Below are 16,785 nucleotides of genomic sequence, written 5' to 3'. Positions count from 1 at the left end.
TGGTTTTAATGTTTTGTGTTTTGTTTTTTCAAGAAGGCTTCAGACATTCTATTTCCTAAGTTGTTTAATGTCTTAAAATGTGGTTAGGAGCCTTTACATTTTGATAATGTCTTGGGTTGGTGAAAACATTCTGTTTTTCTCAAAACTTGGCGCCTTTCTTCTGGCTCTGAATTTAGCTGTGGAGAAATTTGAGGGGAAATGTGCTCTCTTTTAGGCCCGAGTTACAAAACTTACCTAGTGTAGGTATAAATGTTGTTATATGTAAATTTTTCCTCTAATACTAGAAGAGATTAACAAAAATTCCTGTGCAATATTTCTTAATTATAAGTACATTTTTTGTATTATGCCTTTGAATACTTTTTCTATTCTACGTGTCCAGTTCTCTAACTGTCTGGCCCCCAGTTTAGATTCTTCTTCCTAATTTCTTTAATTCATTTGTCTTTTCTTATTCTCTCCCTTTGATTACCTCTAACTACTCTTGTTCAGTAATTTTATTTCAGTCACTTCATTTTGTTCTTATTTCTAATTTCTTATTTCCTTAAGGATAATTTGATTCTCAACTTTTTCTTCACTCTTTAATCTCCCCATTTCCATCTCATTCTGACAGAATCTCATCTTTTCCTCATACTGCTATCTTTTGAATTTATATTCTTATTAAATTTTGTAGGATAAAGCAGCCATGAAGAATCCTTCTTTGTTCTCTGAGGATTTCTTTGTTTAATCAATATCAAATGCCATTCTTTGAAGTCTAAAACACTGGCTGTACACCTTTTTTTATTTGATTGCTGGTGAATATATATATTCAGCAATATATGAGAATACATAATTATATATTATATAATATAGATATTGAATATATCTGCAAATATATATTGAATATAGAGAATATATGTTGAATATATAGTATATGTAATATTGAATATATATTATATATTAAAAAATATATATATATACACACAGCTATTTTGACTTCTTGCTAGTCTCTATCATGGTTAGCTAGACAACTCTTTATAGATGTTACTCCCATTTTATAGGGGAGGAAATTAAGTTTTAAAGAAGTTAAATTCTCAAGATTGTACATACATAGAAGATAATGGATGGACAGAGATAAACCAGTAAAATCAAGATTTTAAACTCCTGTATTTTAGTCAGGTCAGTCTTGTTTTTCAACCCTTCCTATCTATGCAATACTTGTAGTTATGCTTCAAATGTCATTGAAAATATTATTATTTCTTCCCCATGCTTGTGGTAATCATGCTGCTACAGTAACATGACTAATAAATTATGATACACACAGGCTGACTCTTGTCACTGACAGGCCAATCTGCCTTGACATTTAGGTATGAAGATGATGTATATGGATAATAAATTCACACCCATAGATTAGTTCACACTCCATTCAGTCTATAAAGAAATGATTGGGCCATTAGATATCAGGCGTTTCAGGAATCTATGATGCATACTAATCCCAAGAAGATCCAATTCTATGATATCTAACAAGTAAGATTTTCACGGGTGCTGCAACCAGTTTAAAGGGGCTTATTTATCTTAAAACTACACTGACATAACTAAATAGAAGCAGAGCAAGATGGCTGAATAAAAGCCTCCAGCAATTGTTCCCTCTGCAGGAATACCAAATTGAACAACTATCCACATAAGAAAGCACCTTCATAAGAACTAAAAATCAGGCGAGTGATCATAGTACCTGGTTTTAACATTTCATCAAGGAAAGAGGCACTAAAAAGGGTGGGAAAGACAGTTTTGTATTACCAAAGTCGCTCCTCCCCCATCCCCTGGCAGCACCGTGTGGTGCAGCGAGAAAATCTGTGCACTTAGGAAAAGGAGAGCAAAGTGATTGTGGGACTTTGTAATGCAACTCAGTGCTGCCCAGTCACAGTGGAAAGCAAAACAGGGCAAATTTAGTGAGCACCCAAAGAGGGAGCATTTAAAACGACCCAGACAGAGGGAAATCATCCATCCCTGTGATCAGAACCTGAGTTCCAGCAAGCCTCGCCACCACAGACTAAAGTGCTGTGGAGTCCTAAATAAATTTGAAAGCAGGCCACAAGGACTGCAATTCCTGGGCAACTCCTGGTGCTATGCTGGGATCCGAGCCAGTGAATTTGGGGTGCACAGGACCCACTGAGAGCCCTACTGGGGTTGCTAGGGGAGTGCTTGCATCACCTCTTCCCTAACCCCAGGTAGCACAGCTCATAGCTTGAAGCTCTGGGAGAGACTCCTTCCTTCTGCTTGAGGAGAGAAGGGGGAGAGTAAAGAAGACTTTGTCTTGCAACTTAGATACCAGCTCAGCCACAGTAAAATAAAGCATGAGAAAGAGTCCTGGGCCCCTATTCCAGGTCTTAAGTCCTGGATAACATTTCTAAACCTTCCCTAAGCAAGAAGGGAACCCACTGCCCCAAAAAGAAGGACCAAATCCTGGCAGAATTCATCATTTGCTGACTAAAGAGCCCTTGGGCCTTGAATAAACATTGCCAGTAGCCAGGAAGTACTCGCCACAAGCAGGGGGTAAGATCCAGTACTGTGCTGCTTTCAGGCGAGGCCAGCACATAACCAGCTGTGGTGACCTTGCAGGGAGGCCCCTTCTGCTTGAGAAAAGGAGAGGAAAGAGTAAAAGGGACTTTGTCTTGCAAGTTGGGTACCAGCTCAGCCACAGTATAATCAAGCAGATACCTAAAGCTCCTGATTCCAGCCCCTAGCTCCTGGAGAGCATTTCTAGACACCCTGGGCCAGAAGGGAACCTGCTGCCTTGAAGGGAGAGACAAAGACCTGGCAGGATTCACCAGCTCCTGACTAAAGAGTCCTTGGGCCTTGAATAAACTTCAGTGGTAGACAGGAAATAGTCATCACAGGCCATGGCCAAGACCTTCATGTGTAACCTAGAACAGTGCCAGCAATAATGGTCACAGGACACCCCTCCCCCAACTCCAGGCACCTCAACACAGAGAAAGAGACTTTGCTAGTTTGGGGGAAAGTAAGGGAAGATAACAAGAGACTCTGCCTGTAATTCCATGGAATTCTCTCAGATCTTACCCAAGACCAATAAGGTAGTATTCTCTATGAATCTGCAAGAGCCACAGTGTTACTAGGCTTGGGGTGCTCCCTAATTCAGATGCACCAACAGTGACCAAAGACATAGATCAAAACACACAATACTTTTGAATAATTGGAAAGCCTCCTCAAGAAGGAAGAGTACAAACAAGTCTAGACTACAACAATTAGAATAAATATATAACTCTTCAATGCCCTGATATTGATGAACATCCACAAGCATCAAGACCATCCAGGAAAACATGACCTCACGAAATGAACTAAATAAGATACCAGTGACTGATTCCAGAGTGACAGAAATATGTGACCTTTCAGATAGAGAATTTAAATTTGTTTTCTTGAGGAAAATTAGTGAAACTCAAGATAATACAGAGAAGGAATTCAGAATCCTAGCAGACACATTTAACAGATATTGAAATAATTAACAAAAAATCAAGCAGAAATTCTACAGCTGAATAATTCAATTCACAAACTGAAGAATGCATCAGAATCTCTCAACAGCAGAATTGAGCAAGCAGAAGAACTAGTGAGCTTGAAGACAGGCTTTTTGAAAACATTGTCAAAGGAGAAAAATTTAAAAATAATAAAAAACAATGAAGCATGCCTACAAGATCTAGAAAATAACCTCAAAAGGGCAAATCTAAGGGCCGGGTGTGGCGGCTCACACCTGTAATCCCAGCACTTTGGGAGGCCGAGACGGGCGGATCATGGGTTCAGGAGATTGAGACCATCCTGGCTAACATGGTGAAACCCCGTCTCTACTAAAAATACAAAAAATTAGCCAGGCATGGTGGTGGGCACCTGTAGTCCCAGCTACCTGGGAGGCTGAGGCAGGAGAATGGCGTGAAACCGGGAGGTGGAGCTTGCAGTGAGCCAAGATCATGCCACTGCACTCCAGCCTGGGTGACAGAGTGAGATTCTGTCTCAAAAAAAAAAAAAAAAAGGCAAATCTAAAAGCTATTGGCCTTAAAGAGAAGTCAGAGAGAAATATAGGGGTAGAGAATTTATTGAAAGAGATAATAACAAGATCTTCTCAAATCTAAAGAAAAGTATCAATATTCAAGTACAAGAAGGTAATAGAACATGAATCAGATTTAACCTAAAGAAAACCACCTCAAGGCATTTAATAATCAAAACTCCCAAAGGTCAAGGATAATAAAAGGATCCTAAAAGCAGCAAGAGAAAATAAAGAAATAACCTGCAATGGACCTCAAATATGTCTGGTAGCAGACTTTTCAGTGAAAACCTTACAGGCCAGGGGAGAGTAGCATGGCATTTAAATTTCTGACAAAAAGAAACAAAAAACTTTTCTCCTAGAATAGTATATCCAGCAAAAATATCCTTCAAACATAAAGGAGAAATAAATACTTTCCTAGGCAAACAAAAGGTAATGGATTTCATCAACACCAGACCTGTCCTATAAGAAATGCTAAGGGGAGTTCTTCAAACTGAAAGAAAAGGATGTTAATGAGCAATAAGAAATCATCTGAAGGTACAAAACTCACTGGTAATAGTAAGTACCCAGACAAATACAAAATATTATAAGACTGTAATTGTGGTATATAAGCTACTCATATCTTAAGTGGAAAGACTAAAAGATAAACCTATTAAAAATAAAAACTACAACCACTTTTCATGACATAGACAATGTAATAAGATATAAATAAAAACAACAAAAGGTTAAAAAATGGGGGGGTAAGATTAAGTGTAAAGTCTTTATTAGTTTTCTTTTCGTTTGTTTGTTTATGCAAATAGTGTTAAGTTGTTGTCAGCTTAAAATAATGGATTATAAAATAGTATTTGCATGGCTCATGGTAACCTCAAATTAAAAAACATACAATAGATACACAAAAAATAAAAAGCAAGAAATTAAATCATCCCACCAGAGAAAGTCATCTTCACCAAAAGGAGGACAGAAAGGAAGAAAAGGCCACAAAACAACCAGAAAACACATAACAAAATGGCAGGGGTAAGTCTTTGCTTATGAATAAAAACATTAAATGTAAATAGACTAAACTTCTCAATCAAAAGGCATAGATTGGCTGACTGGATTAAAAAGCAAGACCTAATGATCTGTTGCCTACAAGAAACACACTTAACCTATAAGACACAAATAAAACACACTTTACCTATAAGACTCAAATAAACACTGAAAATAAAGGGATGAAAAAAGATATTTCACGCAAATAAAATTAAAAAAAGCAGGAGTAGCTATACTTATATCCAACAAGGGAGGTTTCAAGACAAAAACTATTTAAAAAACACAAAGAAGGTCATTATATGATAAAGGGGCCAATTCAGCAAGAGGATGTAACAGCTGAAAATACATATACACCAAACACTAGGCACCCAGATATATAAAACAAATACTATTATAGCCAAAGAGAGGGATAGACCCAAAAATAATAATAGCTGGAGACTGCAGCACCCCACTTTCAGCATTGGACCAATCATCCAGACAGAAAATCAATAAAGAAACATTAGACTTAATCTGTACTCTTAACCAAATGGACCTAATAGATATTTACAGAACATTTCATCCAACAGCTGCAGAAAACACACTCTTCTCCTTAGCATTCTCAAAGACAGACCATATCTTAAGCCATAAACAAGTCTTAAATTTTTTTTAAAAAATTGAAATCATATCAAGTATCTTCTCTAATCACAATGAAAAAAACTAAAAATCAATAACAAGAGGAATTTTGGAAACTATACAAACACATGGAAGTTAAACAATATGTTCCTGAATGACCAATAGGTCAATAAGGAAATTCAAAAGGAAATTTAAAAATTTTTCAAAACAAATGAGAAGGGAAACACACCATATTAAAACTTATGGGATACAGCAAAAGAAGTACTAAGTGGAAGGCTGAAAGAAAGAAAGAAAGAAAGAAAGAAACTTCAAATACACAACCTAAAGATGCATCTTTAGAAACCGAAAGAGTAAGAGCAAACAAAACCCAAAATTAGTGGAAGAAATAATAAAGATAGGAGCAGAAATAAATGAAAATGAAAAGAAAAAACAATACAAAAGATTTTAAAAATGAACAGTGGGTTTTTGAAAAGATAAAAACAAATCAACAAACCATTAGCCAGATTAAGAAAAAAAGAAGACCTAAATAAATAAAAATAGAGATGAAAAAAGAGATATTACAACTGATATGGCAAAAATTCAGAGGATCATTAGAGACTACTATGAGCAGTTATATGCCAATAAAATGGAAAACCTAGAATAAACAGAGAAATTTCCAGATATATAAAATCTACTGAGATTGAACCATGAAGAAATCCAAAATCTGAATAGAAAAATAACAAGTAATTACATTAAAGCTGTTATAAAATGTCTCCCAGCAAAGAAAAGCCCAGGATGCAATTGTTTCACTGCTGAATTTTACCAAACATTTAAAGAAGAAATAACACCAATTCTATTCAAATTATTTCAACAAATAAAGAAAGAGGGAACACTTCCAAACTCATATCACAAGGCTGGTATTACCCTAGACACAGATACATTTTTAAAAAGAGACAGAGAGAGTAAATACAGGTCAATATCCCTGAAGAACATTGATACAAAAATCCTCAACAAAATACTAGCAAACTGAATTCAACAATACATTAAAAAGACCATTCTTCATGACCAAGTGGGATCTATTCCAGGGATGCAAGGATGGTTCAACATATGCAAATCAATCAATGTGACACATCACATCAACAAAATGAAGGGCAAAAACCATATGATCTTTTCGATTTATGCTGAAAAAAGCATGTGATAACATTTAACATCCCTTCATAATAAAACTCCTAAAAAAACTAGGTATATGAGGAACATACCTCAATACAATGATAAATGAATAAATTTCTAGACACATAAAACCGACTGACACATATAATGAAAGCCATGTGTGACAGACCCACAGGTGGTATCATACTGAACAGGGAAAAATTGAAAGCCTTTCTTCTCAGATCTGAAACAAGATAAGGATGCCCACTTTTTTTTTTTTTTTTTTTTTTTTTTTGAGATAGAGTCTCGCTCTGTCACCCAGGCTGGAGTGCAGTGGCGCTATCTTGGCTCACTGCAAGCTCTGCTTCCCGGGTTCACATCATTCTTCTGCCTCAGCCTCCCGAGTAGCTGGGACTACAGGCACCTGCCACCTCGCCCGGCTAATTTTTTGTATTTTTAGTAGAGATGGGGTTTCACCGTGTTAGCCAGGATGGTCTCGATCTCCTGACCTCATGATCCGCCTGCCTTGGCCTCCCAAAGTGCTGGGATTACAGGCATGAGCCACCGCGTCCGACAAGGATGCCTACTTTCACCACTGTTATTCAACATAGTACTGCAATTCCCAACTAAAGCAATCAGACATGAGAAAGAAATAAAGGGCATCCAAATTGGAAAGGAAAAAGTCAAATTGCCCTTGCAGATGATATGGTCTTATATTTGGAAAAACCTAAGACTCCACCAAAAACTATTAGAACTGATAAACAAATTCAGGAAAGTTGCAGGATACAAAAATCAATGTACAAAAATCAGTAGCTTTTCTATATGCCAATGGTAAACAACTTGAAAAAGTAATCTCATTTACAATAGCTACAAATAAAATACCTAGGAATTAACTTAACCAAAGAAGTGGAAGACCTTTGTAATGAAAGCTATAAAACACTGATGCAAGAAATTGAGAAGGACGCAAAAATGGAAAGATACTCTATGTTCATGAATTGGAAGAATCAATATTGTTAAAATGTCCACACACCAAAAGAAACTACAGATTCAGTGCAATCTCTATAAAAATAACCAATGACATTCTTCACAGAAATAGAAAAAAAAAAACTAAAATTTTTATGGAACAACAAAAGACCCAGAAAGCCATCCTGATATAAAAAGAACAAAACTGGAGGAATCACTTCCCCTTACTTCAAATTATATTACAGATCTATACTAACCAGAACAGTATGGTACTGGCATAAAAATAGACACATAGATTAATGGAACAGAATAGAAGCCCCAGAAATAAATCCATACATCCACAGTGAAATCATTTTCAACAAAAGTGCCCAGAAAATACATTGAAGAAAGGATAGTCTCTTCAATAAATGGTGCTGAGAAAAGTGGATATCCATATGCAGAAAAATGAAACTAGACCCCTATCTCTTACCATATACAAAAATCAAATCAAAATGAATCAAAAACTTAAATCTAAGACCTCAAACTATAAAACTACTAAAAGAAAACATTGGGGAAACTTTCCAGGACGTTGATCTGGGCAAAGATTTCTTGAGTAAACCCCACAGGCACAGGTAACCAAAGCAAAAATGGATAAATGTGATCACATCAAGTTTAAAAGCTTCTGCACAGCAAACAAAACAATCAACAAAGTGAAGAGACAACTCACAAAATGAAAGAAAATATTTTCCAACTATACATCTGACAAGGGATTAATAACCAGAATATATAGGCAGCTCAAACAGCTCAATAGGAAAAAATCTAGGAATCCAATTTTTAAAAGGGGCAAAACATCTAAGTAGACATTTCTCAAAAGAAGACATACAAATGGCAAACAGGTATATGAAATGGTGCTCAATGGCACTGAACATCAGGAAAATGCAAATCAAAACTACAATTAGATATCATCTCATACCAGTTAAAATGGCTTTTATATTATACAAAGGACTGGCAATTATGAATTTTGGTGAGGATGTGGAGAAAATGTTACCCTTGCACACTGTTGGTGGGAATGTAAATTAGTACAGTCACCATGGAGAACAGTATGGAGATTCCTCAAAAAACTAAAAATAGAGCCACCACATGATCCAGCAACCCCACTACTAGGATATATACCCAAAAGAAGTAAATCAGTGTATCAAAGAGATATGTGTACTGCCATTTTTATTGCAGCACTATTCGCAGTAGCCAAGATTTGGAATCAGCCTGAGTATCCATCAACAGATGAATACATAAAGGAAATGCAGTATGCATCTACAATGGCACACCATTCAGCCATAAAAGAATGAGATCTTGTCATCTGCAACAACATGGATGGAGCTGGAGGATATTATATTAAGTGTAATATGCCAGGAACAGAAAGACAAATGTTGCATGTTCTCATTTATTTTTGGAAACTAAAAATCAAAATAATTAAACTCATGAAGATACAGAGTAGAATGATGGTTACCAGAGGCTGGGAAGTGTAGTGGGTGTAGGGGGAAAAGGGGATGGTTAATGAATACAAAAATACAGTTAGATAGAATAAATAAGATGTAGTATTTGATAGCACAACAGTATTATTAACACCACTGGTAAAGGAACCAGAACTTAGTTTCTTTCTCGGAACGAATGTGTTAATGGAGTGAGCATCAACAGCAGATTTCCATGGTAACCTACAGACTTCAAAAAATGTTAATTTCTAACACATGAACAACTTCTGGAAGGTCACATACGTGTGTATGTGTGTGTATGTGTGTACAATGTGTTTTATAAATTTACATTATTGAGTCATTGATCGCTTGCAGTGTGTTAGCAGCTTTAGAAAAGGTAATTATACAGAGCTCAAGGACACTAAATTCCTATGTCAAGACCTTCTTAACATTAATCACTTTTCCTGTCTTCAAAAACCATGTAAAGTGACCTCTTGAAATAGCTGTAGTATAATCCAATTTACAGTTTCATAGAAAATGTCAAAGAAAAATGTCTATTTTATTTCTCTTCTCCATAAGTAATAATATATCTCATCTGAAGGCTCTAGGAGAAGAAAAAAGGAATAAAATAAAAGCAACTGATATCTCTGCCAAAATATGTGATCTGTGGAAGCAAGTCCAACAATAGTGGTAACTAATATAAAATAACTTGAAACAAGTTTAATCAGTTGTAAATCATGTATCTGAAGTTATTGTATTTGCAGTTCATATTAATAGTCTACATTTGAGAAATATCTCTTTAATGCACATTGATGGCTTGAAATAACATCTATGGCTCTTTCCTTCTCTTTGTCATTCTGACTTTTCTTTTTCCTTTCCTCCTTCCTTCTTTCCCTTTTGATTTTGAATCATGAAATTTCTAATTTTAAACCATATTTGATCTATTAAAACAGCAGTTTCGTATGGTTCAAAGTACACAAGACATGAAATAATTCTTAGGTGATATTTCAAGACAATAATCTGATGTTAATTTCCCAAATATCAAGATGGTATTTAATCATATTTCTGAAGATCTTCCACTGAAAGCTGTCTTGCACTATGAACTATATATAAGATATAGGCTAGTTGCTAAGTGAGCAGAAACAGTATAATTATGGGTTATAGTGGTATGTGGGTCAGGAGTATAACATGATTTTTAAATCCCTGCATTATTTTATAATGCATGTATGCTGAAGAAGGTTAAGAAAGGCACTGGGAATTCATGTCTACTCTTCTAACCATTGCATTATTGGCCCTAACCTATTAAACTATATGCTTTATCTGCGATACATAAAGAAATGCTGTCAATGTAGGTATATTTCCAAATTCTTCTTTTCTGCTGATCCACTGATTCAAGAAGTACTTTCTCACATGTGCTCAGGACGTAGTCTGCCAGGTCCATGCTGGCCTTCTTGAATTGCTGCCGTGCCACTTCCTTTGGTGATTGAGACTCAAGAGATCCATTTACCTCCTCTCTATTCAAAAGGATTTCTCTAGAAATTCTACGACCTTGGTATAAAATCCAAAACTCATACATGACCCCTGGAACTTAGGATATTCCTCACCACTGCCCTGATTGTCACACATCTCAGGATCTTGACATATCTCCACACAAGTTCTCAGTGACAATGACATTGATTGTAGCAGCTATAGTCAATGTCATTGTCACTGAGAACTTGTAGGTCTGTTTTGCTGTTCCCTTCCAGCCTATCTCCACGTAGCTAAGAATGACTGGCCATCACCATTAGGACTAAAAGGAGGAAGATTTTCCCCACCCCTAGGCCAAAGAGCCACAAACTAGAATCCATTTTGTTTTAGGGGAAATACTCTCATTACCTAGTAATACATGCTCTTATTCTGCAGTTTCAGCAAGACATTAACAACACTGTATGTACAATCTCCTACCTTTTGGGCCTCATCTTTAGCCTTCTTGCTTACAGAATCACAGAATTTCAGTCCTCAGAGATAATTATAGTTCGACTTCCTTATTTTAAAGGTGAGGAATTCAAAGACCACCACGTTGCTGTTTTCCCTTACAACTATATTGAGGTACAATTGACATAAAATAAACTGCATATCTTTAAAATGTACAATTTAATAAATTTGGACAGATATATACACCCAGAAAACTATGAGCAGGAAATAAGCATATCCATCACATCCAAACTTACCTCATGACCCTTTATAATCTCTCTTTCTCATCTCTCCCTTCATCAGCTCTCACCACTGGTGTTCTTTTTGTCACTATAGGTTAGTTTGCATTTTCTAGAATTTTATATGAATGAAATCAAACTATATGTTCTCTTTTTATTGTCTGACTTACTTTACACTGCTTAGTTATTTTTGAAACTCATCTATGTTGTATGGGTATCAATAACTAATAAGTTTTTTTTTGGTTTTTGTTTGTTTTGAGACAGAGTCTCACTCTGTCACCCAGGCTGGAGTGCAGTGGCACGATCTCGGCTCACTGCAACCACCACCTCCCGGGTTCAAGTGATTCTCCTGCCTCAGCCTCCCAAGTAGCCAGGATTACAAGCATGCGCCACCACACCTGGCTAATTTTTTTTATTTTTGGTAGAGACGGGGTTTCACCATTTTGGCCAGGCTAGTCTCGAACTCCTGACCTTAAGTGATCCGCCTGCCTCGGCCTCCCAAAATGCTGGGATTACAGACATGAGACACCATGCTGGCCAACTCATTAGTTATTATTGTTGAATAAAAAATATTACATGGATATCCCAGAATTTTCTGTCCATTTACTGGTGATAAAAATTGGAGTTGTTTCCAAATAAAGTTGATATGAATATGTACGTACAAGTGTTTGAATAGACATATATTTTCATTTATCTTAGGTAAATGTATAGGAGTGGAGTGGCTAGAACATATAATAGCTACATGTTTAACTTTTTAAGATACCAACAAACCGTTGCTGAAAGTGGTTCTACCATTTTACATTACCTGTCAGAATTGTAAAAGTTTCAGTCTCTCCACATCCTTGTTAACACTTATTATGATAAGCCTTTTTCACTTTAAGCACTACTGTGATGTCCAGTGGTATATCATTGTGGTTTCAATTTTACATTTCTTTGATGAAAACAATTTGAACACATTTTTATGTTTTAATATATTATGCATATCTTTTATTTTTGGAAATATATGTTCAAATTGTTTGCCCAAATTGTTATGGGGTTGCCTCGTTTCTTAGCAGTGAATTTTGACAGTGTTTTAAGTATTCTGAACATGAATCTTTTATCAAATATATAATTTGCAATTATTTTCTCTTAATCCGTAGATTTTTTTTCATTTCCATCAGTGTCTTTCAAAAAGCAAAAATGTTGGCCAGGCACGGTGGCTCATGCCTGTAATTCCAGCACTTTGGGAGGCCGAGGTTGGCGGATCACGAGGGCAGGAGATCCAGACCATCCTGGCCAACATGGTGAAACCCCGCCTCTACTAAAAATACAAAAATTAGCTGGGCGTGGTGGTGGGTGCCTGTAATCCCAGCTACTCAGGAGGCTGAGGCAGGAGAATTTCTTGAACCAGATAGTCAGAGGTTGCTGTGAGCCGAGATCATGCCACTATACTCCAGCCTGGTGACAGAGTGAGACTCTGTCTCCCATGTGCATGAGAAGCTGTTATGTAATATCCGTAACTGGTTTGAAAATCACTTGCCCATTCAATTCAGTTTGTCTTTACAAGCAGTTGCTCGGAGAGGTAGATCAGTAGCCCTTTCTCAAGGAAGGGCCTGTGCTATGATTTCAGTGAGCTCTGTCTGAACATGATGTGATCCAGTGGCTACAGGTTTGAACAACAGAGTCTTCCCCTATCTCCTGCAATAAAGTACATAACAAAGAGAAGCTGAGTTAAAATTGTTGGGGTTTAGCATATATGACAAAAAAAAAAAAAGAAATCAATAGAAATCTATTCATAAGGTAAAGTTTGGGGTGAAGACAGGTGGTTGGTGAATATATAGAACAGCAACTACTTTGGGCGGTCTTGATGCCAGGTCAATGCCAAAGTCTACCTATTGGTCTGAATAAATATTTGCCCATACTCACAGGCTTGGTCAGGATTTGTGTAGAAAGTGCACAGCAGAACTGAGCCTATGCATTCAAAGTCCTGAGTACCCCTACAAAGGAAGAGGACACAAATGAAAAATATTCCCTCATACCAAGGATTGTCCTGAAATCCAAGACCATATTTTATGAGGTAAGTTAAAAACAACATTACTAATTACCAATATTAAGTAAATTAAGGGGAAAAACATTACATTATGAAATTAAACAAATAGCATAATCTTATTGCTAATTCCCCCTCTTCATTGTTTTACTGCCTATATGATTCATAATATTTATAAAGCAGATCCAGGATTACCTCAAAAGTGCTTTAAAAAGTGAAAGAATGCTTTTAAAATGAAAAAAACAATGAAAAAAATTATTTTATTCTCCTCTTGGTGGACAGTAGAACTGAATAATTATGGTGAGATGCTGCCTTTATCTCTACTGGAGGTTGTTGGAGTCACACTGGAGCTAAGAACTAGGGACCACATCCTGGCCTTTGATTTGAGGCCCCTCTTGTGCATGTTTAATTTCCCACAACTGCAGAATCACTTGTAACATTGCAACTTTTCATAAGTAAAAGTAAAATTAATAAACTTGTGTTACTCTTTATATTTGGATTTCTTAGAAGACATACATCAGAGAGAGAGAGATTACAGTATGCAATCTCTCAGCTGCCAACAGAACACAGATGGGCTTGGGAACAGAGAATGATCCAGATCTGCAGGACTGGAGCAATCCGTGGGAAGTTTGGACAGAAGATCTGATGCATAAGACAGTAAAGGACTATTGAATGTTCCATGATAGATATGCTTGTTCTTTTGCCTGCATGCCCTTGAATAAAGACATTTTGATCTCCAGGACCAACCTGAGAAACATATAATTTAATCTAGTTTTGAAAGAAGAGCCCTGCTACACAAATACTGGCTCACAATGTTAAGAGATATCAACTGAAATATCAAAGGGCTTTCATATTTCATTAAATTGACTATCCTATGTGTTTGATATTTCCATTTAATTGAATATTTCTTAACTCAATGAAAAATGTATGAGCCTGCTGTGATAAATTCGGTGTCGCATATGGGAATTTCAAGTGTCTTTGATTGAATCTTATTTCTTGATATCTCACCTTTCAGAAGAGAGATACAAAAAGACTGTTAGCCTGCTTGCTTCTGTTTTTTCTGCCCCATCTCCACCCTTATTCCCAAACTGTGGTTCACACATTTATTTCTATTTTTAAAAATTTTCTCTTGCTGCTGCCATTCTCTTATTACTCATTTTTTAAATACCCAGTCCACTTTCCTTACTTTTCTTTAATGTCTGCCTCAGAGCTCAGCTTTTTTAGTTAATTGATGACATCACTAGCCTTTAGTTCTGAGAGACTGAATATACAGTCACACCATACATTGAAACAGAATTCTAAGCCACAAATTGCAATAACCAGAGCAAGACCACAGCCTCCATGGCAATTAGCCCAAAATGGTCAGGACCTGATCAATAACGGACAACTTTCATAATTTTTAGCCCCCTTCCCCCACTTCCAGCTTGGGACCAACTGGAGAAAGACAAATATGCTGCCTAACCACCCGCATAGGATGCTTTTCTTTCAATTATCGGGCTTCCGACTTCCCCGGACCAATAGCCTCCAATCAGGCAGACCTGAAGCCTTCCCTTTTTCCCATTCTAAAGCTTTCCTACTCCTCTGCCTGCCTTTGAGTCTCCGACAAACACAAATAATGGCGGTTAACTTCTTTACTATGCTAGCTCTGAATAAATATCCTTATTAATATACTTTTCTTGTTCGCATCTGGGTGCACTTCATTTGTTTCCATAGTTCTTTCATTCCATGAACTTTCCAATTAAAAACTGTTTTGAATAAATGCCACGGTCTTGGCTTTTCTGCAATCATCAACTCTCTCTAGCTTCTGCCTTCAATTCCACACCTTATCCAGATGCAAACTAGCTTTTAGGAAGCTTTAGGAGGTATTTTTTTTTCACTACGTATATTTTATTTGACTGAAAAATGATAAAATATCATTTAAATTGAATGTGCACCAACTGTGGCTCCTAAGCTGAATAATAACATAAATTTGTATCCATAAGCATAATAGGACATTTAATAATCCTTGTTACATCTATTGATTAACATACTCTGTAAAGTCATTTGGTCTTGTGCCAAATAGAAACTATAAAAATATAATGAGCTTTTTGTCAAAAACTGTTATGTAAGGCCTTGGAAGCTTCTAGTAGTTCAGTGCTTTCTATTCCATTCACGTTTTTGTTGAAATAAAATGGAAAAGAAAATAACCTTGTATATGCATATTAGAACTAACAGGTAAGGGTTTCCATGGATACTTCTTTTATGCAGCCAAAGAGTTCGTGTGCGGAAAAAGGCATTCATTTCTAGTTCTAAGAGATTCTGTTCTGATAAGGAACTCCTGCCAATCATTTTATGTCTTGACTTTCTAACAGAATAAAATAATATATATCATGTGTGTTATGTTGTAAGTCATGAGATAGTTCTATCTAAATAATCTTTTCAATCATCTGGCCTATTCGAGTAATGCCTTGGAATTTTATTAAAGCTTGAAAAAATCTATGAAGGTTTTGTAAGCAACTTTTAATGAGTTTATTGCTTTCTAGATCTGTATGAGGCATCTTTTTTCTCTCTCTCTTTTTCTTGGTCATCACTTAGGCAGTTTAAATTAACCAACTACCAGTGCTAGCATAAAAGTTTATCTTTTACTTAAAATAGCTTTTGGAGCAGTTTTATCTTTAATTTTATCTTGACTTGAAGAAATTTCAAATACCTTTGATTGAATCTTATTACTTGATATCCTACCCAAATGAAATTTTCTGCAAGTTTTCTTTTTATCTTTTCGAGAAACATGTCAAAAACGATGCACGATTTCAGACCATGAAACTGCTAGGTTAAATTTTAAGCCATATAGTTTTATGAGAAGCTTGATGAGGTTCTGTGACCTTTTAATGAGCAAATTCTTTCTAAACAACATGTTTTAAATGTAGCACTGTTGTTTTACACTGACATGCACCTAAGCAATTATATAAATTGTGGGCATGGCCTGTAGAATTGTTTTTAAAAAAATAATCTGAAAAATCATTTGATCTTAGATTTAAGAGTGAACTCTCAAATATATTCTGTTTTTACTAGTTAATACGGACTCTGGATAGCAGTAAAGTGTAAATCATGACCAGAATGGTAAACAAAGAGGCAATTAAAACATCACTCAACTTCCAAACTGATTAAATAATAAATTTTTGCAACAAAGCTTTCATGATTTATGTTTTCAAGTCCATAGATGCAACAGCCTTTTCACTGAGTGCAATATTGTCATGACACATACATTGTCATGGTACATTATACTATTATAATGTAAGATAAATGGCTGTCAAAAATACAGGTTACATAAGATGAGAAGAAACAGAAATGCAAACTATATTAAGCCCTAACATTGGTTTTGGCCTT

The 16,785-nt window shown here is 36.0% G+C and overlaps 2 long non-coding RNA genes across 2 annotated transcripts in view; one reads left to right on the top strand and one right to left on the bottom strand.

The window, feature by feature from the left end:
- Positions 1-15,767, top strand: part of LINC02006 (long intergenic non-protein coding RNA 2006) — a 378,977-nt gene extending 363,210 nt beyond the window's left edge. The window contains exons 6-7 of the long non-coding RNA NR_146713.1: positions 13,301-13,449; positions 13,927-15,767. This is a non-coding gene — a long non-coding RNA (long intergenic non-protein coding RNA 2006). The remainder of the gene's footprint in view (positions 1-13,300; positions 13,450-13,926) is intronic.
- LINC03109 (long intergenic non-protein coding RNA 3109) overlaps positions 12,811-16,785 on the bottom strand; it is a 66,028-nt gene continuing 62,053 nt past the window's right edge. Inside the window, exons 8-9 of the long non-coding RNA XR_002959654.2 lie at positions 13,299-13,369; positions 12,811-13,070 (exon numbers count right to left, since the gene is read on the bottom strand). This is a non-coding gene — a long non-coding RNA (long intergenic non-protein coding RNA 3109). The remainder of the gene's footprint in view (positions 13,071-13,298; positions 13,370-16,785) is intronic.

The sequence above is a fragment of the Homo sapiens genome, chromosome 3 (assembly GCF_000001405.40).
Source record: "Homo sapiens chromosome 3, GRCh38.p14 Primary Assembly".
Taxonomy (NCBI): Eukaryota; Metazoa; Chordata; class Mammalia; order Primates; family Hominidae; genus Homo; species Homo sapiens.
This window is presented reverse-complemented; position numbering and strand designations above follow the sequence as displayed.